The 22,093-nt window shown below is 36.6% G+C and overlaps 3 annotated features.

Moving 5' to 3' along the window:
* Positions 14,907-15,441: an enhancer, noted in NCBI's record as "OCT4-NANOG hESC enhancer chrX:61788662-61789196 (GRCh37/hg19 assembly coordinates)". NCBI's record gives its function as "activates a minimal SCP1, AML or CMV promoter by ChIP-STARR-seq in primed H9 embryonic stem cells {active_cell/tissue: H9 hESC(primed)}" and the evidence as "EXISTENCE:reporter gene assay evidence [ECO:0000049][PMID:30033119]".
* Positions 19,406-20,291: an enhancer, noted in NCBI's record as "NANOG hESC enhancer chrX:61783812-61784697 (GRCh37/hg19 assembly coordinates)". NCBI's record gives its function as "activates a minimal SCP1, AML or CMV promoter by ChIP-STARR-seq in primed H9 embryonic stem cells {active_cell/tissue: H9 hESC(primed)}" and the evidence as "EXISTENCE:reporter gene assay evidence [ECO:0000049][PMID:30033119]".
* Positions 20,548-21,446: an enhancer, noted in NCBI's record as "OCT4-NANOG hESC enhancer chrX:61782657-61783555 (GRCh37/hg19 assembly coordinates)". NCBI's record gives its function as "activates a minimal SCP1, AML or CMV promoter by ChIP-STARR-seq in primed H9 embryonic stem cells {active_cell/tissue: H9 hESC(primed)}" and the evidence as "EXISTENCE:reporter gene assay evidence [ECO:0000049][PMID:30033119]".

Below are 22,093 nucleotides of genomic sequence, written 5' to 3'. Positions count from 1 at the left end.
CAAATATCCACTAGTAGATTCTACAAAAAGGGTGTTTCCAAACTGCTCAATCAAAACAGAGTTTCAAATCTGTGAGATGAAGGCACAGATCCCAAAGTAGTTTCTCAGAATGCTTCTGTGTAGTTTTTTTGTGAAGATATTTCCTTTTCTGCAATAGGCCTCAAAGCACTCGAAATATCCACTTGCAGATTTTTCAAAAAGAGTGTTTCAAAACTGCTCCATAAAAAGAAATCTTCAACTGTGTGACATGAATGCACTCATCTGAGAAAGAAGTTTCTCAGAATGTTTCTGTGTGTTTTTATGTCAAGATATACCCTTTTCCACAGTAGGTACCAAAGCGCTCCAAATATCCACTTGCAGATCCTACAAAAAGTGGGTTTCAAAAATGCTCAAACAAAAGAAAGGTTCAAGTGTGTGAGTTGAATGTCCACATCACAAAGAAGTTTCTGAGAATGCTTCTGTCTAGTTTGTATGTGAAGATATTTCGTTTTTGACCATTGTCCTGAAAGCCCTCAAAATATACACTTGCAGATTCTACAGAAAGGGTGTGTCAAAACTGCTCTATGAATAGAAAGGTTAAACTCTGTGACTTGAATGCACACATCACAAAGAAGTTTCTGAGAAGGCCTCTGTCTAGTATTTATGTGAAGATATTTCATTTTTTAACATAGGCCTCAAAGGGAAATAAACATCCACTTGCAGATTCTACAAAAAGAGAGTTTCAAAACTGCTCAATCAAAAGAAAGGTTCAACGATGTGAGTTGAATCCACACACCGTAAAGAAGTTTCTCAGAATGCTTCTGGGTAGTTTTTATGTGAAGATATTTCCTTTTCCACAATAGGCCTCAAAACACTCCAAATATCCACTTGCAGATCCTACAAAAACCGTGTTTCAAAACTGCTCAATCAAAAGAAAGGTTCAACTCTGTGAGTTGAATGCACACATCACAAGGAAGTTTCTCAGAATACTTCTCTGTAGCTTTTATGTGAAGATATTTCCTTTTCCACCATAGGCAGCAAAGGTCTACAAATATACATTTGCAGATTCTACAAAAAGAGAGTTTCAAAGCTGCTCAAACAAAAGATAGGTTCAACTCTGTGACTTGAATGCACACATCACAAACAATTTTCTCAGAATGCTTCTGTGTAATTTTTATGTGAAGATATTTCCTTTTCCATAATAGGCCTCAAAGAGCTCTAAACATCCACTTGCAGATGCTGCAAAAACAGTGTTTCAAAACCGCTCAATCAAAATAAAAGTTCAACTCTGTGAGCTGAATGCACACATCACAAAGAAGTTTGTCAGAATACTTCTGTGTAGATTTTAGGTGAAGATATTTCCTTTTCCACCACAGGCAGTAAAGGGCTCCAAATATCCACTTGTAGATTCTTCAAAAACAGTGTTTCCAAACTGCTCCATCACAAGATATCTTCAACTCTTTGAGTTGAATGCACACATCACAAAGAAGTTTCTCAGAATGCTTCTGTATAGTTTTTATGTGAAGACATTTCCTTTTCCACAATAGGCCTGGAAGAGCTCCAAATATCCAATTGCAGATCCTACAAAAAGAGGAGTGTTTCAAAGCTGCTCAAACAAAAGGAAGGTTCAACTCTGTGAGATGAAAGCACAAATTGCAAAAAAGTTTCTCAGAATGCTTCTGTGCAGTTTTAATCTGAAGATATTTCCTTTTCCACAAGAGGCTTCAAAGCGCTCCAAATATCCACTTGCAGATGCTACAAAAACAGTGTTTCAAAACTGCTCAATCAAAAGAACGTTTCAAATCTGAGAGCTGAATGCACACATCACAAAGAATTTTCTCAGAATACTTCTCTGTAGTTTTTATGTGAAGATATTTCCTTTTCCACAATAGGCAGCAAAAGGCTCCAAATATCCACTAGCAGATTCTACAAAAAGAGAGTTTCAAAACTGCTCAATCAAAAGGTGGGTTCAACTCTGTGAGTTGAATGCACACATCACAAAGAAGTTTCTCTGAATGCTTCTGTGTAGTTTTTATTTGAAGATATTTCCTTTTCCAACATAGACTACAAAGCACTCCAAATATCCACTTCCAGATTCTATAAAAAGAGTGTTTCAAAACGGCTCCATCAAAAGAAATCTTTGACTCTGTGAGATGCTTGCACACATCGAAAAGAAGTTTCTCAGAATGCTTCAGTGTAGTTTTTATGTGAAGACACTTCCTATTCCACAGTAGGCCCCTATGTACTACAAATATCCATTTGCAGATTCTACAAAAAGAGTATTACAAAACTGCTCAAACAAAAGAAAAGTTCAATTCTGTGAGATGAATGCACACATCAGAAGGAAGTTTCTCAGAATGCTTCAGGGTAGTGTAGTTTTTATGTGAAGATATTACCTTTTCCACCGTAGGCAGCAAAGGGCTCCAAATATCCACTTGCAGATTCTACAAAAACAGTGTTTCAAAACTGCTCAATCAAAAGATATGTTCAACTCTGTGAGTTGAATGCTTACATCACAATGAAGTTTCTCAGAATGCTTCTGTGTAGTTTTTATGTGAAGATATTTTCTTTTCCACTACAGGTCACAAAGCGCTCCAAATATCCACTTGCAGATAGTACAAAAAGAGTGTTTTCAAACTGCTCAATCAAAACAAAGTTTCAACTCTGTGAGATGAATGCACACATCCCAGAGAAGATTCTCGGAATGCTTCTCTGTAGTTTCTATGTGAAGATATTTCCTTTTCCACAATAGGCCTCAAAGCGCTCCAAATATCCACTTGCGGATTCTACAAAAAGAGTGTTTCAGAACTGCTCCATCAAAAGAAATCTTCAACTCTGTGAGACGAATGCACACATTGCAAAGAAGTTTCTCAGAATGCTTCTGTCTGGTTTTTATGTGAAGATATTTCCTTTTCCAGAGTAGGCCTCAAAGCTCTCCAAATATCCCCTTACAGATTCTACAAAAAAAAGTTTTTAAAAACTGCTCAAACAAAGGAGAGATTTAACTCTGTGAGAGGAATGCACACATCAAAAAGAAGTTTCTCAGAATGCTTCTGGATAGTTTTTATGTGAAAATATTTCCTTTTCCAAAATAGGCCGCAAAGGGCTCTAAATATCCACATTCAGATTCTCCAAAAAGAAAGTTTCAATACTACTCAATCGAAAGACAGGTTCGACTCTGTCAGTTGAGTGCACACATCACAAAGAAGTTTCTCCGAATGCTTCTGTGAAGATTTTATGTGAAGATATTTCCTTTTCTGCGATAGGCCTCAAAGCACTCGAAATATCCACTTGCAGATTACGCAAAAAAGTGTTTCAAAACTGCTCAATCAAAAGAAAGCTTCAACTCTGAGAGCTGAATGCACACATCACAAAGAAGTTTGTCAGAATACTTCTGTGTAGTTTTTATGTGAAGATATTTCCTTTTCCACCAAAGGCAGTAACGGGCTCTAAATATCCACTGGCAGATTCTTCAAAAAGAGTGTTTCCAAAGTGCTCCACCAAAAGATAGGTTCAACTCTGTGAGTTGAATGCACACATCACAAAGAGGTTTCTCAGAATGATTCTGTGTAGTTTTTAGGTGAAGATATTTCCTTTTCCACCACAGGCAGCAAATGGCTCCAAATATCCACTTGCAGATTCTACAAAAAGACATTTTCAAAACTGCTCAATCAAAAAATAGGTTCAACTCTGTGAGTTGAATGCACACATCATGAAGAAGTTTCTCAGAATGCTTCTGTGAAGTTTTTATGTGAAGATATTTCCTTTTTCAGCTTAGTCCTCAAAGCGCTCCAAATATTCAATGCTGATTCTTCAAAAATAGTGTTTCCAAACTCCTCAATCAAAACAAAGTTTCAAGTCCGTGAGATGAATGCATACCTCACAGAGATGTTTCTCAGAATTCTTCTCTGTAGTTTTTATGTGAAATATTTACTTTTCTACAATAGGCCTCAAAGCGCTCCAATATCCAATTGCAAATGCTACAAAAAGAGTGTTTCAAAACTACTCCATGAAAAGAAATATTCAACTCTGTGAGACGAATGCACACATCACAAAGAAGTTTCTCAGAATGCTTCTGTATGTTTTTTATGTGAAGATATTTCCTTGTCCAAAATAAGCCACAAAGGGCTCCAAATATCCACTTGCAGATTCTACAGAAAGAGAGATTCAAAACTGCTCAATCAAAAGATAGGTTCAATTTTATTTGTTGAATACACACATCACAAAGAAGTTTCTCAGAATTGTTCTGTGTATTTTTATGTGACGCTCTTTCCTTTTCCACCGTAGGCCACAAAGGGATCTATATATCGACTTGCAGATTCTACAAAAAGAGTGTTTCAAAACTGCTCAAACAAAAGATAGGTTCAACTTTGTGAGTTGAATGTAAACATCGCAAAGAAGTTTCTCAGAATTCTTCTCTGTAGTTTTTACGTGAAGATATTACCTTTTCCACAAGAGGCCTAAAAGCACCCCAAATATTCACTTGCAGATTCTACAAGAAGAGTGTTCAAAACTGCTCAATCAAAAGACAGCTTCAACTCTGTGAGATGAATGCACACATCACAAAGTAGTTTCTCAGAATGCTTCTGTGCAGTTTTTATGTGAAGATATTTCCTTTTCCAAAAAGGCCACAAAGGGCTCCAAATAGCCACTTGCCGGTTCTACCAAACCTGCTCAATCAAAAGATAGGTTCAATTCCATGAGTTGAATACACACATCACAAAGAAGTTTCTCAGAATGTTTCTGTGTAGTTTTTATGTGAAGATAATTCCTTTCCACCACAGGCCGCAAAGGGCTCTAAATATTCACTTGCAGATTCTGCAAAAAAGAGAGTTTCAAAACTGCTCAATCAAAAGATAGGTTCAACTATGTGAGTTGAATCCACTCACCACAAAGAAGTTTCTCAGAATGCTTCTGTGTAGTTGTCATGTGAAGATATTTCTTTTTCCACAATAGGCTTCAAAGCACCCGAAATATCCCCTAGCAGATCCTACAAAAAGAGTGTTTCAAAACTGCTCCATCAAAAGAAATATTCAACTCTGTGAGATGAATGCACACATCCCAAAGAAGTTTCTCAGAAGGCTTCAGTGTAGTTTTTATGTGATGGTATTTCCTTTTCCACTGCAGGCCCCAAAGCGCTCCAAATATCCACTTGCAGATTCTACAAAAAGATTGTTTCAAAACTGCTCAAACAACAGAAAGGCTCAACTCTGAGGTGAATGCACAAATCACAAAGAAGTTTCTCAGAATGCTTCTGGGTTGTTTTTATGTGAAGATATTTCCTTTTCAAGAATAGGCCGCCAAGTCCAAATATCCACTTGCAGATTCTACAAAACTAGAGATTCAAAACCGCTCAATAAAATGATATGTTCAGTTCTATGAGTTGAATACACAAATCACAAAGAAGTTTCTCAGAATCCTTCTGTGTAGTTTTTATGTGAAGATATTTCCTTTTCAAAAATAGGCCACAAAAGGCTGTAAATATCCAGCTGCAGATTCTACAGAACGAGAGATTCAAAACTGCCCAATCAAAAGATAGGTTCCATTCTTTGAGTTGTATACACACATCACAAAGATGTTTCTCAGAATGCTTCTGTGTAGTTTTTATGTGAAGATATTTCCTTTTCCACCATAGGCCTGAAAGCGCTCCAAATATCCACTTGCAGATTCTACAAAAAGAGAGTTTCCAAACTGCCTAATCAAAGCAAAGTTTCAACTCTGTGAAATAAATGCACACATCACAAAGAAGTTTCTCAGAAAGCTTCTGTGCAGTTTTTATGTGAAGATATTTCCTTTTCCACAGTAGGCCTCAAAGCGCGCCAAATATCAACATGCAGATTCTATAAAAAGAGTGTTTCAAAACTGCTCAATATAAAGAAAGTTTCAATTCTGTGAGATGAATACAGACATCACAAAGGAGTTTCTCAGAATGCTTCTGTGTGTTTTTTATGTAAAGATATTTCCTTTTCAAAAATAGGCCGCAAGGGTCTCCAAATATCCCCTTGCAGATTCTACAAAAGGAGAGATTCAAAACTGCTCAGTGCAAAAATAGGTTCTGTTCTGTGAGTTGAATGCACACATCACAAAGAAGTTTCTCAGAATGCTTCTGTGCAGTTTTTGTGTAGATATCTTATTTTCCACCATAGGCCTCAAAATGCTCCAAATATCCACTTGCAGATTCTACAAAAAGATTGTTTCAAAACTGCTCAATCAAAAGAAAGGCTCAACTCTGTGAGAGGAATACACACATTGCAAAGAAGTTTCTCAGAATGCTTCTGTGTAGTTTTTATGTGAAGATATGTCCATTTCCACAAAAGGACCGAAAGAGCTCCAAATATCCACTATCAGTTTCTACAAAAAGAGTGTTTCAACCTACTCTTAGAAAAGAAAGATTCAACTGTGTGAGATCAACAGACACATCGCAAAGAAGTTTCTCAGAATACTTCTCTGTGTTTTTTATGTGAAGATATTTCCTTTTCCACAATAGGCTTCAAAGCACTCAAAATATCCACTGGCATATCCTACAAAAAGAGTGTTTCAAAACTGCTCCATCAAAAGAAATCTTCCACTCTGTGAGATGAATATAAACATCCCAAAGGGGTTTCTCAGAATGCTTCTGTGTAGTTTTATGTGAAGGTATTTCCTTTTCCACAGTAGGACCCAAGCGCCCCATATATCCACTTGCAGATTCTAAGAAAAGAGTGTTTCAGACTGATCAAACAAAATAAATGTTCAACTCTGTGAGATGAATGCACAAATCATAAAGTAGTATCTCAGAACGCTTCTGGGTAGTTTTTATGTAAAGATATTTCCTTTTCCAAAATAGGCTGAAATGTTTCCAAATATCAACTTGCAGATTCTACAAAACTAGAGATTCTGAACTGCTCAATAAAAAGGTTGGTTCAATTACATGAGTTGAATACACACATAACAAAGAAGTTTTTCAGAATGCTTCTGCGTAGTTTTTATGTGAACATATTTCCTTTCCACCATAGGCCTCAAAGCGCTCCAAATAACCACTTGCAGATCCTGTAAAAGACTGTTTCAAAACTGATCAGTCAAAAGAAAGCTTCAATCCTGTGAGATGAATGCACACATCACAAAGAAGTTTCTCAGAATGCTTTTGTGTAGTTTTTATGTGAAGATATTTCCTTTTCCAAAATTGGCCGCAAAGATCTCCAAATATCCACTTGCAGATTTTACAAAAAGAGATATTCAAAACTGCTAAATCAAAAGTTAGGTTGAACTCTGTAAGTTGAATGCACACTTCACAAAGAAGTTTCTCAGAATGCTTCTGTGTAGTTTTTATGTGAAGATATTTCCTTTTCCACAAGAGGCTTCAAATCACGCCAAATATCCACTCACAGATTCTACAAAAAGAGTGTTTCAAAACTGTTCCATTAAAAGAAATCTTGAACTCTGTGAGATGAGCGCACACATCACAAAGAAGTTTCTCACAATGCTTCTGTGTAGTTTTTAATGTGAAAATATTTCCTTTTCCACATTAGGCCCCAAAGAGCTCCAAATACCCACTTGCGGATTGTACAAAGGAGTGTTTCAAAACTGCTCAAACAAAAGAAAGTTTAAACTCTGTGTGGTGAAGGCACACATCACAAAAAGTTTCTCAGAATGCTTCTTGGTAGATTTATATGAAGATATTTCCTTTTCCAAAATAGGCTTCAAAGGGCTCCAAGTACCCAGTTGCAGATTCTACAGCAAGAGAGATTCAAAAATGCTCAATCAAAAGATAGCTTCAATTCTATCAGTTGAATACACACATCACAAAGAAGTTTCTCAGAATGTTTCAGTGTAGTTTTTAAGTGAAGATATTTCCTTTTCCACCATAGGCCTCAAAGCTCTCCAAATATCCACTTGCAGATTGTGCAAAAAGAGGGTTTCAAAACTGATCCATCAAAAGAAAGTTTGAACGCTGTGAGTTGGATGCTCACATCACAAAGAAGTTTCTGAGAATTCTTGTGTCTAGTTTTTACGTGAAGATATTTCCTTTTTCTCTAGAGGCCGAAAATCAGTCCAAATATCTACTTGCAGATTCCACAAACAGAGTGTTTCAAAACTGGTCAATCAAAAGAAAGGTTCAACTCTGTGAGATGAATACACACATCACAGAGTAGTTTCTCAGAATGCTTCTGTCTAGTTTTTATGTGAAGATATTTCCTATTCCTCTATAGACCACAAAGGGCTCCAAATATCAACTTGCAGATACTACAAAAAGAGCGTATCAGAACTCCTCAATCAAAAGAAAGGTTCAACTCCGTGAGTTCAATGCCTACATCACAAAGAAGTTTCTCAGAATGTTTCTGTGTAGTTTTAATGTGAAGATATTTCCTTTTCACCATAGGCCTCAAATCTCTCCAAATATCCATTTGCAGGTACTACAAAAACCCTGTTTCCAAACTGCTCAATCAAAGGAAAGGTTGTACTCTGTGAGTTGAATGCACACATCACAAAGAAGTTTCTCAGAATGCTTCTGTCTATTTTTTATGTGAAGATTTTTCCATTTCAACAATATGCCTCAAAGCACTCCAAATATCCACTTGCAGATTCCCCAAAAAGAGTGTTTCTAAACTCCTCAATGAAAAGAAATGTAAAACAGTGTGAGATGAATGCACACATCAAAAAAATTTCTCAGAATGCTTCTGTCTAGTTTTAATTTGAAGATATTTCCTTTTCCACCATAGGCCTCAAAGCGCTCCAAATATCCACTTGCAGATTCTACAAAAAGAGTGTTTCAAAACTTCTGAATCAAAAGAAAGCTTCAACTCTGTGAGATGAATGCACACATCACAAAGAAGTTTCTCAGAATGCTGGTGTCTAGTTTTTATTTGAAGATATTTCCTTTTCCACCATAGGCCTAAAAGCGCTCCAAATATCCACTTGCAGATTCTACATAAAGAGTGTTTCAAAACTGCTCAATCAAAATTAAATTAAAACTCTGTGAGTTCAACACACACATCACACAGTAGTTTCTCTGAATGCTTCTCTGTAGTTTTTTTGTGAAGATATTTCCTTATCCACCATAGGCCTCAAACCTCTCCAAATATTCATGTACAAATTCTACAAAAAGAGTGTTTCAAAATTGCTCGATCAAAAGAAAGGTTAAAGTCTGTGGGTTGAATGCACACCTCACAAAGAAGTTTCTCAGAATGCTTCTGTCTAGTTATTATGTGAAGATTTTTCCATTTCAACAATATGCCTCAAAGCGCTCCAAATATCCACTTGCAGATTCCCCAAAAAGAGTGTTTCTAAACTCCTCAATGAAAAGAAATGTAAAACAGTGTGAGATAAATGCACGCATCAAAAAAATTCCTCAGAATGCTTCTGTCTAGTTTTAATTTGAAGATATTTCCTTTTCCACCATAGGCCTCAAAGCGCTCCAAATATCCACTTGCAGATTCTACAAAAAGAGTGTTTCAAAACTTCTGAATCAAAAGAAAGGTTCAACTCTGTGAGATGAATGCACACATCACAAAGAAGTTTCTCAGAATGCTGCTGTCTAGTTTTTATCTGAAGATATTTCCTTTTCCACCATTGGCCTCAAATCGCTCCACACATACACTTGCGGATTCTACAAAAAGATTGTTTCAAAACTGCTCAATCAAAAGAGACGTTCAACTCTGTCAGATGAAATCACTCGTCACAAAGGAGTTTCTCAGAATTATTCTGTATAGTTTTTATGTGAATATATTTCTTTTTCCACTGTAGTCCACAAAGTGCTCCAAGTATCCACTTGCAGATTCTAGAAAAAGAGAGTTTCAAAACTGCTCAAACAAAAGAAAAGTTCAACTCGGTGAGATGAATACACACATCAGAAAGAAGGTTCGCAGAATGCTTCCATTAGGTTTTTATGTGAAGATATTTCCTTTTGTGCAATAGGCCGCTAAGTGCTCCAAGTATCCACTTGCAGATTCTACAAAAACAGTGTTTCAAAACTGCAAAATCAAAAGAAAGTTTCAAATCTGTGAGTTCAAAGCATACATCACAAAGAAGTTTCTCAGAATGTTTCTATGTAGTTTTTATGTGAAGATATTTCCTTTTCCACCATAGGCCACAAAAGGGCTCAAAATATTCCCTGGTAGATTCTAACAAAAAGAGTGTTTCAAAACTGCTCAATCAAAAGTAAGGTTCAAATCTGTGAGATGAATGCACACATCACAATGAAGTTTCTCAGAATGCTTCTGTGTAGTTTTTATGTGGAGATATTTCCTTTTCCACAATAAGCATGTAACCTCTCCAAATATTCATTTGCAGATACCACAAAAACACTGTTACAAAACTGCTCAATCAAAGGGCATTTCAGCTCTGTGAGATGAATGCACATATAACAAAGAAGTTTCTCATAATGTTTCTGTGTATTATTTATGTGCAGATATTTCCTTTTCAATGGTCGGCCTCTAACAGCTCCAAATATCCATTAGGAGATACTACAAAAAGTGTGTTTCAAAAATGCTGAATCAAAAGAAAGTTTCAACTCTGTGAGACGAATGCTCATATCACAAAGAAGTTTTTCAGAATGCTTCTGTCTAGTTTTTATGTGAAGGTATTTCCTTTTGCAACATACAATGCAAAGCACTCCAAATATCCTCTTGCAGATTCTACAAAAAAAAAAAAAAAATTTTTGAAACTGCTCAATGAAAAGAAATGGTCAACTCTGCTAACTGAATGCATACAACACAAAGAAGTTTCTCAGAATGCTTCTGTGTAGTTTATATGTGAAGATATTTCCTTTTTGACAATAGGCCTCCAAGCCCTCCAAATATGCACTTGCAGATTCTACAAAAAGAGTGTTTCAAAAGTGCTCAAACAAAAGAAAAGTTCAACTCTTTGAGATGAATGCACACATTAGAACGAAGTTTTGAGAATACTTCTCTGTAGTTTTTATGTGAAGATATTTCCTTTTCCACAATAGGCCGCAAAGGGCTCTAAATATCCACTTGCAGATTCTACAAAAAGAGAGATTCAAAACTCCTCAATGAAAAGATAGGTTCAACTCTGTGAGTTGAATGCACACATCACAAAGAAGTTTCTCAGAATTCTTCTGTGCAGTTTTTATGTGAAGATACTTCCTTTTCCACCATAGTCCTCAAAGTGCTCTAAAGATACACTTTCAGGTTCTACAAAAAAGTGTTTCAAAACTGCTCAATCAAAAGAAAGCTTCAAATCTATGAGGTGAATGCACACATCGCAAAAAAGTTTCCAAAATGCTTCTGTGTAGTTTTTATGTGAAGATACAGCCTTTTCCACTATAGGCCTGAAAGCGCTCCAAATATGCACTTGCAGATTCTACAAAAAGAGAGTTTCGAAACTGCTCACTCAAAAGAAAGCTTCAACTCTGTGAGATGAATGCACACATCACAAAGAAGTTTTTCAGAATGCTTCTATGTAGTTTTTATGTGAAAATATATTCTTTTCCACCATAGACCTCAAAGCGCTCCAAATATCTACCTTCAGATTCTACAAAAAGAGTGTTTGCAAACTGCTCAACCAAAAGAAAAGTTCAACTGTGGGAGATTAATGCACACATCACAAAGCAGTTTTTCAAAATGCCTCTGCGTAGTTTTCATATGAAGATATTTCCTTATCCACAATGGGCCTCAAAGTGCTGCAAATATCCACTTGCAGATTCTACAAAAAGAGTGTTTCAAACCTGCTCAATCAAAAGAGAGCTTCAACTCTGTGAGTTGAATGCATACATCACAAAGAAGTTTCTCAGAATTCTTCTGTGTAGTGTTTATGTGAAGATATTTCCTTTTCCATAATAGGTTTCAAAGCGCTCTCAATATCCACTTGCAGACTATACAAAAAGAGTGTTTCAAAACTGCTCAAACAAAAGAAAGGTTCATCTCTGTGAGATGAATGCCCAGCTCACAAAGCTGTTTCTCGCAATGCTTCTGTGTAGTTTTTATGTGAAGATATTTCCTTGTCCACCATTGGCCGTGAAGGTCTCCAAATATCCATATGCAGTTTCGACAAAAAGAGATTTTCAATACCGCTCAATCAAAAGATAGGTTCAACTCTGTGAGTTGAATGCACACATCACAAAGAGGTTTCTCAGAATGCTTCTATGTAGTTTTTATGTGAAGATATTTCCTTTTCCAAAATAGGCCACAAAGCCCTCCAAATATCCACTTGCAGATTCTACAAAAAGATTGTTTCAAAACTGCTCAAACAAAAGAAAACTTCAGCTCTGTTAGATGAATGCCCACATCAGAAAGAAGTTTCTCAGAATGCTTCTGTGTAGTTTTTATGTGAATATATTGCCTTTTCTACAATAGGTCTCAAAGCGTTTCAAATATCCAATTTCAGATTCCATAAAAAGAGTGTTTCAAAACTGCTCGATCAAAAGAAACTTTCAACTCTGTGAGATGAATGCACACATCACAAAGAAGTTTCTCAGAATGCTTATGTGTAATTTTTATGTGAGGATATTTCCTTTTCCAAAATAGGTCACAAATGGCTCCAAATATCCCCTTGCAGATTCTACAAAAAGACTGTTTCAAAACTGGTCAATCAACAGAAAGCTTCAGCTCTGTGAGATGAATGCACACATCCCAAAGATGTTTCTCAGAATGCTTCTGTGTAGTTTTAATGTGAAGATATTTCCTTTTCCACAATAGGCCTCAGAGAGCTTTAAATATCCACCTGCAGATTCTATAAAAAGAGCTACAAAACACTGCTCAAGGAAATAAAAGAGGATACAAACAAATGTAAGAACATTCCATGCTCATGGGTAGGAAGAATCAATATCATGAAAATGGCCATACTGTCCAAGGTAATTTACAGATTCAATGCCATTCCCATCAAACTACAAATGCCTTTCTTCACAGAATGGGAAAAACTACTTTAAAGTTCATATGGAACCAAAAAGAGCCCGCATCACCAAGTCAATCCTAAGCCAAAAGAACAAAGCTGGAGGCATCACACTACCTGACTTCAAACTATACTACAAGGCTACAGTAACCAAACAGCATGGTACTGGTACCAAAACAGAGATATAGATCAATGGAACAGAACAGAGCCCTCAGAAATAACGCCACGTATCTACAACTATCTGATCTTTGACAAACCTGACAAAAACAAGCAATGGGGAAAGGATTCCCTATTTAATAAATGGTGCTGGGAAAACTGGCTAGCCATATGTAGAAAGCTGAAAGTGGATCCCTTCCTTACACCTTATACAAAAATCAATTCAAGATGGATTAAAGACTTAAACGTTAGACCTAAAACCATAAAAACCCTAGAAGAAAACCTAGGCATTACCATTCAGGACATAGGCATGGGCAAGGACTTCATGTCTAAAACACCAAAAGCAATGGCAACCAAAGCTGAAATTGACAAATGGGATCTAAATAAACTAAAGAGCTTCTGCACAGCAAAAGAAACTACCATCAGAGTGAACACGCAACCTACTAAATGGGAGAAAATTTTCGCAACCGACTCATCTGACTAAGGGCTCATATCCAGAATGTACAATGAACCCAAACAAATTCACAAGAGAAAAACAAACAACCCCATCAAAAAGTGGGCAAAGGACATGAACAGACACTTCTCTAAAAAAGACATTTATGCAGCCAAAAAACACATGAAAAAATGCTCATCATCACTGGCCATCAGAGAAATGCAAATCAAAACCACAATGAGATACCATCTCACACCAGTTAGAATGGCAATCATTAAAAAGTCAGGAAACAACAGGTGCTGGAGAGGATGTGGAGAAATAGGAACACTTTTACACTGTTGGTGGGACTGTAAACTAGTTCAACCATTGTGGAAGTCAGTGTGGCGTTTCCTCAGGGATCTAGAACTAGAAATACCATTTGACCCAGCCATCCCATTACTGGGTATATACCCAAAGGACTATAAATCATGCTGCTATAAAGACACATGCACACGTATGTTTATTGCGGCATTATTCACCATAGCAAAGACTTGGAACCAACCCAAATGTCCAACAATGATAGACTGGATTAAGAAAATGTGGCACATATACACCATGGAATACTATGCAGCCATAAAGAATGATGAGTTCATGTCCTTTGTAGGGACATGGATGAAATTGGAAAACAACATTCTCAGTAAACTATCGCAAGAACAAAAAACCAAATACCGCATGTTCTCACTCATAGGTGGGAATTGAACAATGAGATCACATGGACACAGGTAGGGCAATATCACACTCTGGGGACTGTTGTGGGGTGGGGGGAGGGGCGAGGGATAGCATTGGGAGATATACCTAATGCTAGATGACGAGTTAGTGGATGCAGTGCACCAGCATGGCACATGTATACATATGTAACTAACCTGCACAATGTACACATGTACCCTAAAACTTAAAGTATAATAAAAAAAAATATTATCCAAAAAAAAGAGTGATTTGAAACTGCTGAATCAAAGAAAGCTTCAACTTTGTGAGATGAATGCACCCGTCACAAAGAAGTTTCTCAGTATCCTTCTGTCTAGTGAAGATATTTTCTTTTCCACCATAGGCCGAGAAGGGCTCTAAATATCCACTTGCAGATACTTCAAAAAGAGAGTTTCAAAACTGCTCAATCAAAAGTTAGGTTCAAATCCGTGAGGTGAATTCACATATCAGAAAAAAGTTTCTCAGAATGCTTCTGTGTAGTTTTTATCAGAAGATATTTCCTTTTCCACCACAGGCCACAAAGTGTTCCAATTATCTACTTGCAGATTCTACAAAAAAAATATTTTTACAAACTGCTCAATCAAAAGAAAGGTTCAACTCTGTTAGATGAATGCACACATCACAAAGAAGTTTCTCAGAATGCTTCTATGTAGTTTTTATGTGAAGATATTTCCCTTTCCACCATATGCCGCAAAGGGCTCCAAATATCCACCTCCAGATTCTACAAAAAGAGAGATTCACAACTGCTCAATGAAAAGATAGGTTGCACTCTCTGACTTTAATGGTAGTTTTTGTGTGAAGATATTTCTTTTTCCACAATAGGCCTCAAAGCACTCCAAATATCCACTTGCAGATTCTACAAAAAGAACGCTTCAAAACTGCTAAATCAAAAGAAGGATTCAACTCTGTGAGATGAATGCACAAATCCCAAAGAAGTTTCTCAGAATGCTTCTGTGTAGTTTTTATATGAAGATACTTCCTTTTCCAAAACAGGCCACAAATAGCACAAAATATCCACTTGCAGATTATACAAAAAGAGAGATTCAAAACTGCTCAATCAAAAGATAGGTTCAACTCTGTGAGTTGAATGCACACATATCAAAAATTTTTCTCACAATGCTTCTGCGTAGTTTTGATGTGAAGAATATTTCCTTTTCCACAGTAGGCCTGAAAGCGCTTCAGATATCCACTTTCAGATGCCACAAAAAGAGTGTTTCAAAACTGCTCAATCAAACGAAAGTTTCAACTCTGTGAGCTGATTGCACACATCACAAAGCAGTTTCTCAGAATTCTTCTGTGTAGTGTTTATTTGAAGACATTTCCTTTTCCACTGTAAGCGAAAAAGGGCTCTAAATATCCACTTGCAGACTCTTCAAAAGGAGTGTTTAAAAACTGCTCAAATAAAAGAACGCTTCAATTCTGCTAGAGGAATGCACACATCACAAAGTGGTTTCTCAGAATGCTTCCTTGTAGTTTTTATGTGAAGGTTTTTCCTTTTCCAAAACAGACCACAAAGGGCTCCAAATGTCCAATTGCAGTTTCTACAAAAAAAGCTATTAAAAACTGTTCCATAAAAAGATAGGTAAAACTGTGTGAGTTGAATGCACACATCACAAAGAAGTTTCTCAGAATGCTTCTATGTAATTTTTATGTGAAGATATTTCCTTTTCCACCATAGGCCTCAAAGCACTCCAAATACCCACTTGCAGATTCTACAAAAAGAGGGTTTCAAAACTGCTAAAATGAAAGAAAGTTTCAACTCTGTGAGATGAATGCCCACCTCACAAAGAAGCTTCTCAGAATGCTTCCGTGTAGTTTTTTGTGAAGATATTTCCTTTTCCACCACAAGCATCAAAGCGCTCCAAATATCTACTTACAAATTCTACAAAAAGTGTTTTTCCAGACTGCTGAATCAAAAGAAAGGTACATCTCTTTAAGATGAATGCACAAATCACAAAGAAGTTTCTCAGAATGCTTCTGGGTAGTTTTTATGTGAAGATATTTCCTTTTCCACCTTAAGCCAGAAAGGGCTCCAAATATCCATTTGCAGATTCTACAGAAAGATATTTTCAAAGCTGCTAAATCAAAAGATAGGTTCAACTCTGTGTGATGAATGCACACATCACAAACATGTTTCTCAGAATGCTTCTATGTAGTGTTTAAGTGAAGATATTTCCTTTTGCACAATAGGCCTCAAAGCTCTCCAAATATGCACTTGCAGATTCTACAAAAACAGTGTTTCCAAACTGCTCAATCAAAAGAAAGCTTCATCTCTGTGAGATGAATGCACACATCACAAAGAAGTTTCTCAGAATGCTTCTGTGTAGTTTTCATGTGAAGATATTTCCTTTTCCACCACAGGCCGCTAAGGGCTCCAAATATCTACTTGCAGATCCTAGAAAAATAGAGTTTCAAAACTGCTCATTCAAAAGATACGTTCAACCCTGTGAGATGATTGCACAGATCACAAAGAAGTTTCTCAGAATGCTTCTGTGTAGTTTTTATGTGAAGATATTTCCTTTTCCACCATAGGCCTCAAAGAACTCCAAATATCCACTTGCAGATTCTACAAAAAGTCTGTTTCAAAACTGCTAAAACAAAAGAAAGTTTTAACTCTGTGAGATGAATGCAAACCTCACAAAGGAGTTTCTCAGAATGCTTCTGTGTAATTTTTATGTGAAGATATTTCCTTTTCCAAAATAGGCCGCAGAAGTCTTTAAATATGCACTTACATATTCTAGAGAAAGACAGATTCAAAACTGCTCAATAGAAAGATGGGTTCAACTCTATGAGTTTAATGCGCACATCAGAAAGAAGTTTCTGAGAATGCTCTGTCTAGTTTTCATGTGAAAGTATTTCGTTTTGCACATTAGGCCGCAAAGGGCTCCAAATACCCACTTGCAGATTCTACAAAAAGTGAGTTTCAAAGCTGCTCAATTGGAAGATCGGTTCAAAGCAGCGAGTTGAATGCACACGTGACAAAGAAGTTTCTCAGAATGCTTCTCTGTAGTTTTTATGTGAAGATATTTCCTTTTCCACATTAGGCCTCAAAGTGCTCCAAATATCCACTTGCAGATTCCACAAAAACTGTGTTTCCAAACTGCTCAATCAAAAGAAAGGTACAATTCTGTGTGATGAGTGCACACATCACAAAGAAGTTTCTCAGAATGATTCTGTGTAGTTTTTAAGCGAAGATATTTCCTTTTCCACAATAGGCCTCAAAGCCCTCCAAATATCCTCTTGCAGATTTCACAAACATAATGTTTCAAAACTGCTCAATCAAAAGAAACGTTCATCCCTGTTAGATGAATGCCCACATCCCCAAGAAGTTTCTCAGAATGCTTCTGTGTAGTTTTTATGTGAAGATATTTCCTTTTCCACCATAGGCCTCAAAGCGCTCAAAATATCCACTTGCAAATTCTACAAAAAGTGTGTTTCCAAACTGCTCAATCAAAAGAAAGGTACAACTCTGTGAGATGAATGCACACATCACAAATAAGTTTCTCAGAATGCTCCTGGGTAGTATTTATGTGAAGATATTTCCTTTTCCACCTTAGGACTGAAAGGGTCCAAATATCCATTTGCTGATTCTACAAAAAGAGATTTTCAAAGCTGCTAAATCAAAAGATAGGTTCAACTCTGTGAGTTGAATGCACACATCACAAAGAAGTTTCTCAGAATGCTTCCATGTAATTTTTAGTGAAGATATTTCCTTTTCCACAGTAGGACTCAAAGCGCTCCAAATATGCACTTGCAGATTCTACAAAAAGAGTTTTTCCAAACTGCTCAATCAAAGAAAGCTTCATCCCTGTGAGATGAATGCACACATCACAAAGAAGTTTCTCAGAATGCTTCTGTGTAGTTTTTATGTTATTTCCTTTTCCACAATAGGCCTCAAAGTGCTCCAAATATAAACCTGCAGATTCTACGAAAAGAGTGTTTCCAAACTGCTGCATCAAAAGAAAAGTAAAACTCTGCGAGATGAACGCACACATCACAAAGAGGTTTCTCAGAATGCTTCTGTGTAGTTTTTAGGTGAAGATACTTCCTTTCCCACAGTAGGCCTCAAAGCGCTCTAAATATCCAATTGCAGATTCCACAAAAGAGAGTTTCAAAACTCCTCAATCAAAAGAAAACTTCAACTCTTTGAGATGATGCACACATCACAAAGAAATTTCTCAGAATGCTTCTGTGTAGTTTTCACGTGAAGATATTTCCTTTTCCACCATAGGCCGCTAAGGGCTCCAAATATCTACTTGCAGGTGCTACAAAAATAGAGTTTCAAAACTGCTCATTCAAAAGATAGGTTCAACCCTGTGAGATGATAGCACACATCACAAAGAAGTTTGTCAGAATGCTTCTGTGTAGTTTTTGTGATATTTCTTTTTCCACAAAATAGGCCTCAAAGCGCTCTAAATACCATTTGCAGATTCCGCAAAAAGAGTGTTACAAAACTGCTCAAACAAAAAGAAACTTCAACTCTGTGACATGAATGCACACATAGCAAAGAAGTTTCTCAGAAGACTTCTTTGTAGTTTTTATGTGAAGCCGTATCCTTTTCCACAATAGGCCTCAAAGCGCTTCAAATATCCACGTGCAGATATTATAAAAAGATTGTTTCAAAACTGCTCAATCGAAAGAAAGGTTCAACTCTGTGAGTTGAATGCACACATCACAAAGAAGTTTCTCAGAATGTTTCTGTGTAGTTTGTATGTGAAGATATTTCCTTTTCCACCATAGGCCACAAAGGGCTCAAAATATGCACTTGAAGATTCTACAAAAAGAGAGTTTCAAAACTGCTCAATCAAAACAAAGGTCCAACATTGTGAGATGAATGCACACATCGCAAAGTATTTTTTCAGAATGTTTCTGTGTAGTTTTTATGTGAAGATATTTCCTTTTCCACCATAGGCCACAAAGGGCTCAAAATATGCACTTGCAGATTCTACAAAAAGAGAGTTTCAAATCTTCTAAATCAAAAGATTGGTTCAACTCTGTGAGTTGAATGCACACAACACAAGAAAGTTTCTCAGAATGTTTCTGTGTAGTTTGTATATGAAGATAATTCCTTTTCCAAATTAGGCCTCAAAGCGCTCCAAATAAACACTTGTAGATTCTACAAAACTGTGTTTCAAAACTGCTCAATCAAAAGAAAGCTTCAACTCCATGAGGTGAATGCACACATTGCAAAGAAGTTTCTCAGAATGCTTTTGTGTAGTTTTTATGTGAAGATATCTCCTGTTCCACAACAGGCCTCAAAGCTCTCCAAATATCCACTTGCAGATTCTACAAAAAGTGTGTTTCAAAACTGCTCAATTGAAAGAACGGTTAAACTCAGTGGGATGAATGCACACATCACAAAGAAGTTTCTCAGAATGCTTCTGTGGAGTTTTTATGTGAAGGTATTTCCTTTTCCACCATAGGCCTCAAAGCGCTAGAAATATAAAGTTGCAGATTCTACAAAAATAGTGTTTTAAAACTGCTCAATCCAAAGAAAGGTTCAACTCTGTGAGATGAATGCACACATCATAAAGAGGTTTCTCAGAATGCTTCTGTGTAGTTTTTATGTGAAGATATTTCCTTTTCCACATTATGCCTCAAAGTGCTCAAATATCCACTTGCAGATTCTAAAAAAAGAGTGTTTCAAAACTGCTCAAACAAAAGAAAGGTTCAACTCTTTGAGATGAATGCACACAACACATAGAAGTTACTCAAAATGCTTTTGTGTAGTTTTTTTGTGAAGATATTTCCTTTTCCACCATAGGCTGAAAAGGGCTCCACATATCCACTTGCAGATTCTATACAAAGAGAGTTTCCAAACTGATCAATCAACAGACAGGTTCAAACCTGTCAGTTGAATGCCCACATCACAAACAAGTTTCTCAGAATGCTTCTGTGTAATTTTTATGTGAAGATATTTCCTTTTCCAAAATAGGCTGCAAAAGTCTCCAAATATCCACTTGCAGATTCTACAAAAAGAGAGATTCCAAACTGCTCAATCGAAAGATGGGTTCAACACTATGAGTTTAATGCACACATCAGAAAGTAGTTTCTGAGAATGCTTCTGTCTAGTTTTTATGTGAAGGTATTTCGTTTTGCACATTAAGCCACAAAGGGCTCCAAATATCCACTTGCAGATTCTGCAAAAAGTGAGTTTCAAAGCTGCTCCATCAAAAGATCGGTTCAATGCAGTGAGTTGAGTGCACACATGACAAAGACATTTCTCAGAATGCTTCTTTGTAGTTTTTATGTGAAGATATTTCCTTTTCCACAATAGGCCTCAAAGTGCTCCAAATATGCTCTTGCAGATCCTACAAAAGCAGTGTTTCCAAACTGCTCAATCAAAAGAAAAGTACAATTCTGTGTGATGAGTGCACACATCACAAAGAACTTTCTCAGAATGATTCTGTGTACTTTTTATGTGAAGATATTTCCTTTTTCACAATAGGCCCCAAAGCCCTCCAAATATCCTCTTGCAGATTTCACAAAAAGAGTGTTTCAAAACTGCTCAATCAAAAGAAATGTTCAACTCTGTGAGATGAATGCCCACATCCCAAAGAAGTTCCTCAGAATGCTTCTGTGTAGTTTTTATGTGAAGATATTTCATTTTCCACCATAGGCCTCAAAGCACTTCAAATATCCACTTCCCGATTATATAAAAAGATAGTTTCAAAACTACTCAATCAAAACAAAGGTTCAACTCTGTGATTTGAATGCACACATCACAAAGAAGTTTCTCAGAATGCTTCTGTGTAGTTTTTATATGAAGATAATTCGTTTTCCTAAATAGGCTGCAAAGGGCTCCAAATATCCACTTGCAGAATGCACAAAAAGAGAGATTATAAACTGCTCCATCAAAAGATAGTTTCAGCTCTTTGAATTGAATTCATGCATCACAAAGAAGTTTCTCAGAATGCTTCTGTGTAGTTTTTATGTGAAGATATTTCCTTTTCCACCATAGGCTGTAATGTTCTCCAAATGTCCACTTGCAGATTCTACAAAAAGAGAGTTTAAAAACTGCTCAATCAAAAGATAGGTTCAACTCTGTGAGATGGATGCACATATCACAAAGAAGTTTCTCAGAATGCTTCTGTGTAGTTTTTATGTGAAGATATACCCTTTTCCACAATAGGCCTCAAAGCGCTTCAAATATCCACTTCCAGATCCTACAAAAAGAGTGTTTCCAAACTGCTAAATCAAAAGAAATGTACAACTCTGTGAGATGAATGCACACATCATAAAGAAGTGTCTCAGAATGCCTCTGTATAGTTTTTATGTGAAGATATTTCCTTTTTAACAATAGGCCTCAAAGCGCTCCAAATATCGACTTTCAGATTCTACAAAAAGAGTGTTTCAAAACTGCTAATCAAAAGAAACGTTCTACACTGTGAGATGAATGCGCACTTCACAAGCAGTTTCTCAGAATGCTTCTGTGTAGTTTTTATGTGAAGATATGTCTTTTTCAACAATAGGCCCTAATTCCTCTAAATATCCACTTGCAAATTCTACAAAAAAGTGTTTCAAAACTGCTCAATCAAAAAGCTTCAACTCTGTGAGATGAATGTTCACATCTCAAAGGTGTTTCTCAGAATGCTTCTGTGTAGCTTTATTGTGAAGATATTTCCCTTTCAACCATAGGATCCAAAGCGCTCTAGATATCCAATTGCAGATTCTACAAGAAGAGTGTTTCAAAACTGCTTAAACAAAAGAAAGGTTCAAATCTGTGAGATGAATGCACACATCACAAAAAGTTTCTCAGAATGCTTCTGTGTAGTTTTTATGTGAAGATATTTCCTTTTCCACAATAAGCCTCAAAGCGCTTCAAATATCCACTTGTAGATTTTTCAGAGTGTTTCAAAACTGCTCAAACAAAAGCGAGCTTCAACTTTGTGAGATGAATGCACACATCACAAAGAAGTTTCTCAGAATGCTTCTGTGTAGTTTTTATGTGAA

Source organism: Homo sapiens, chromosome X, assembly GCF_000001405.40.
Source record: "Homo sapiens chromosome X, GRCh38.p14 Primary Assembly".
NCBI classification, from domain to species: Eukaryota; Metazoa; Chordata; class Mammalia; order Primates; family Hominidae; genus Homo; species Homo sapiens.
The sequence above is the reverse complement of the archived record's forward strand: the minus strand, read 5'-3'. Positions and strand labels throughout refer to the sequence as shown.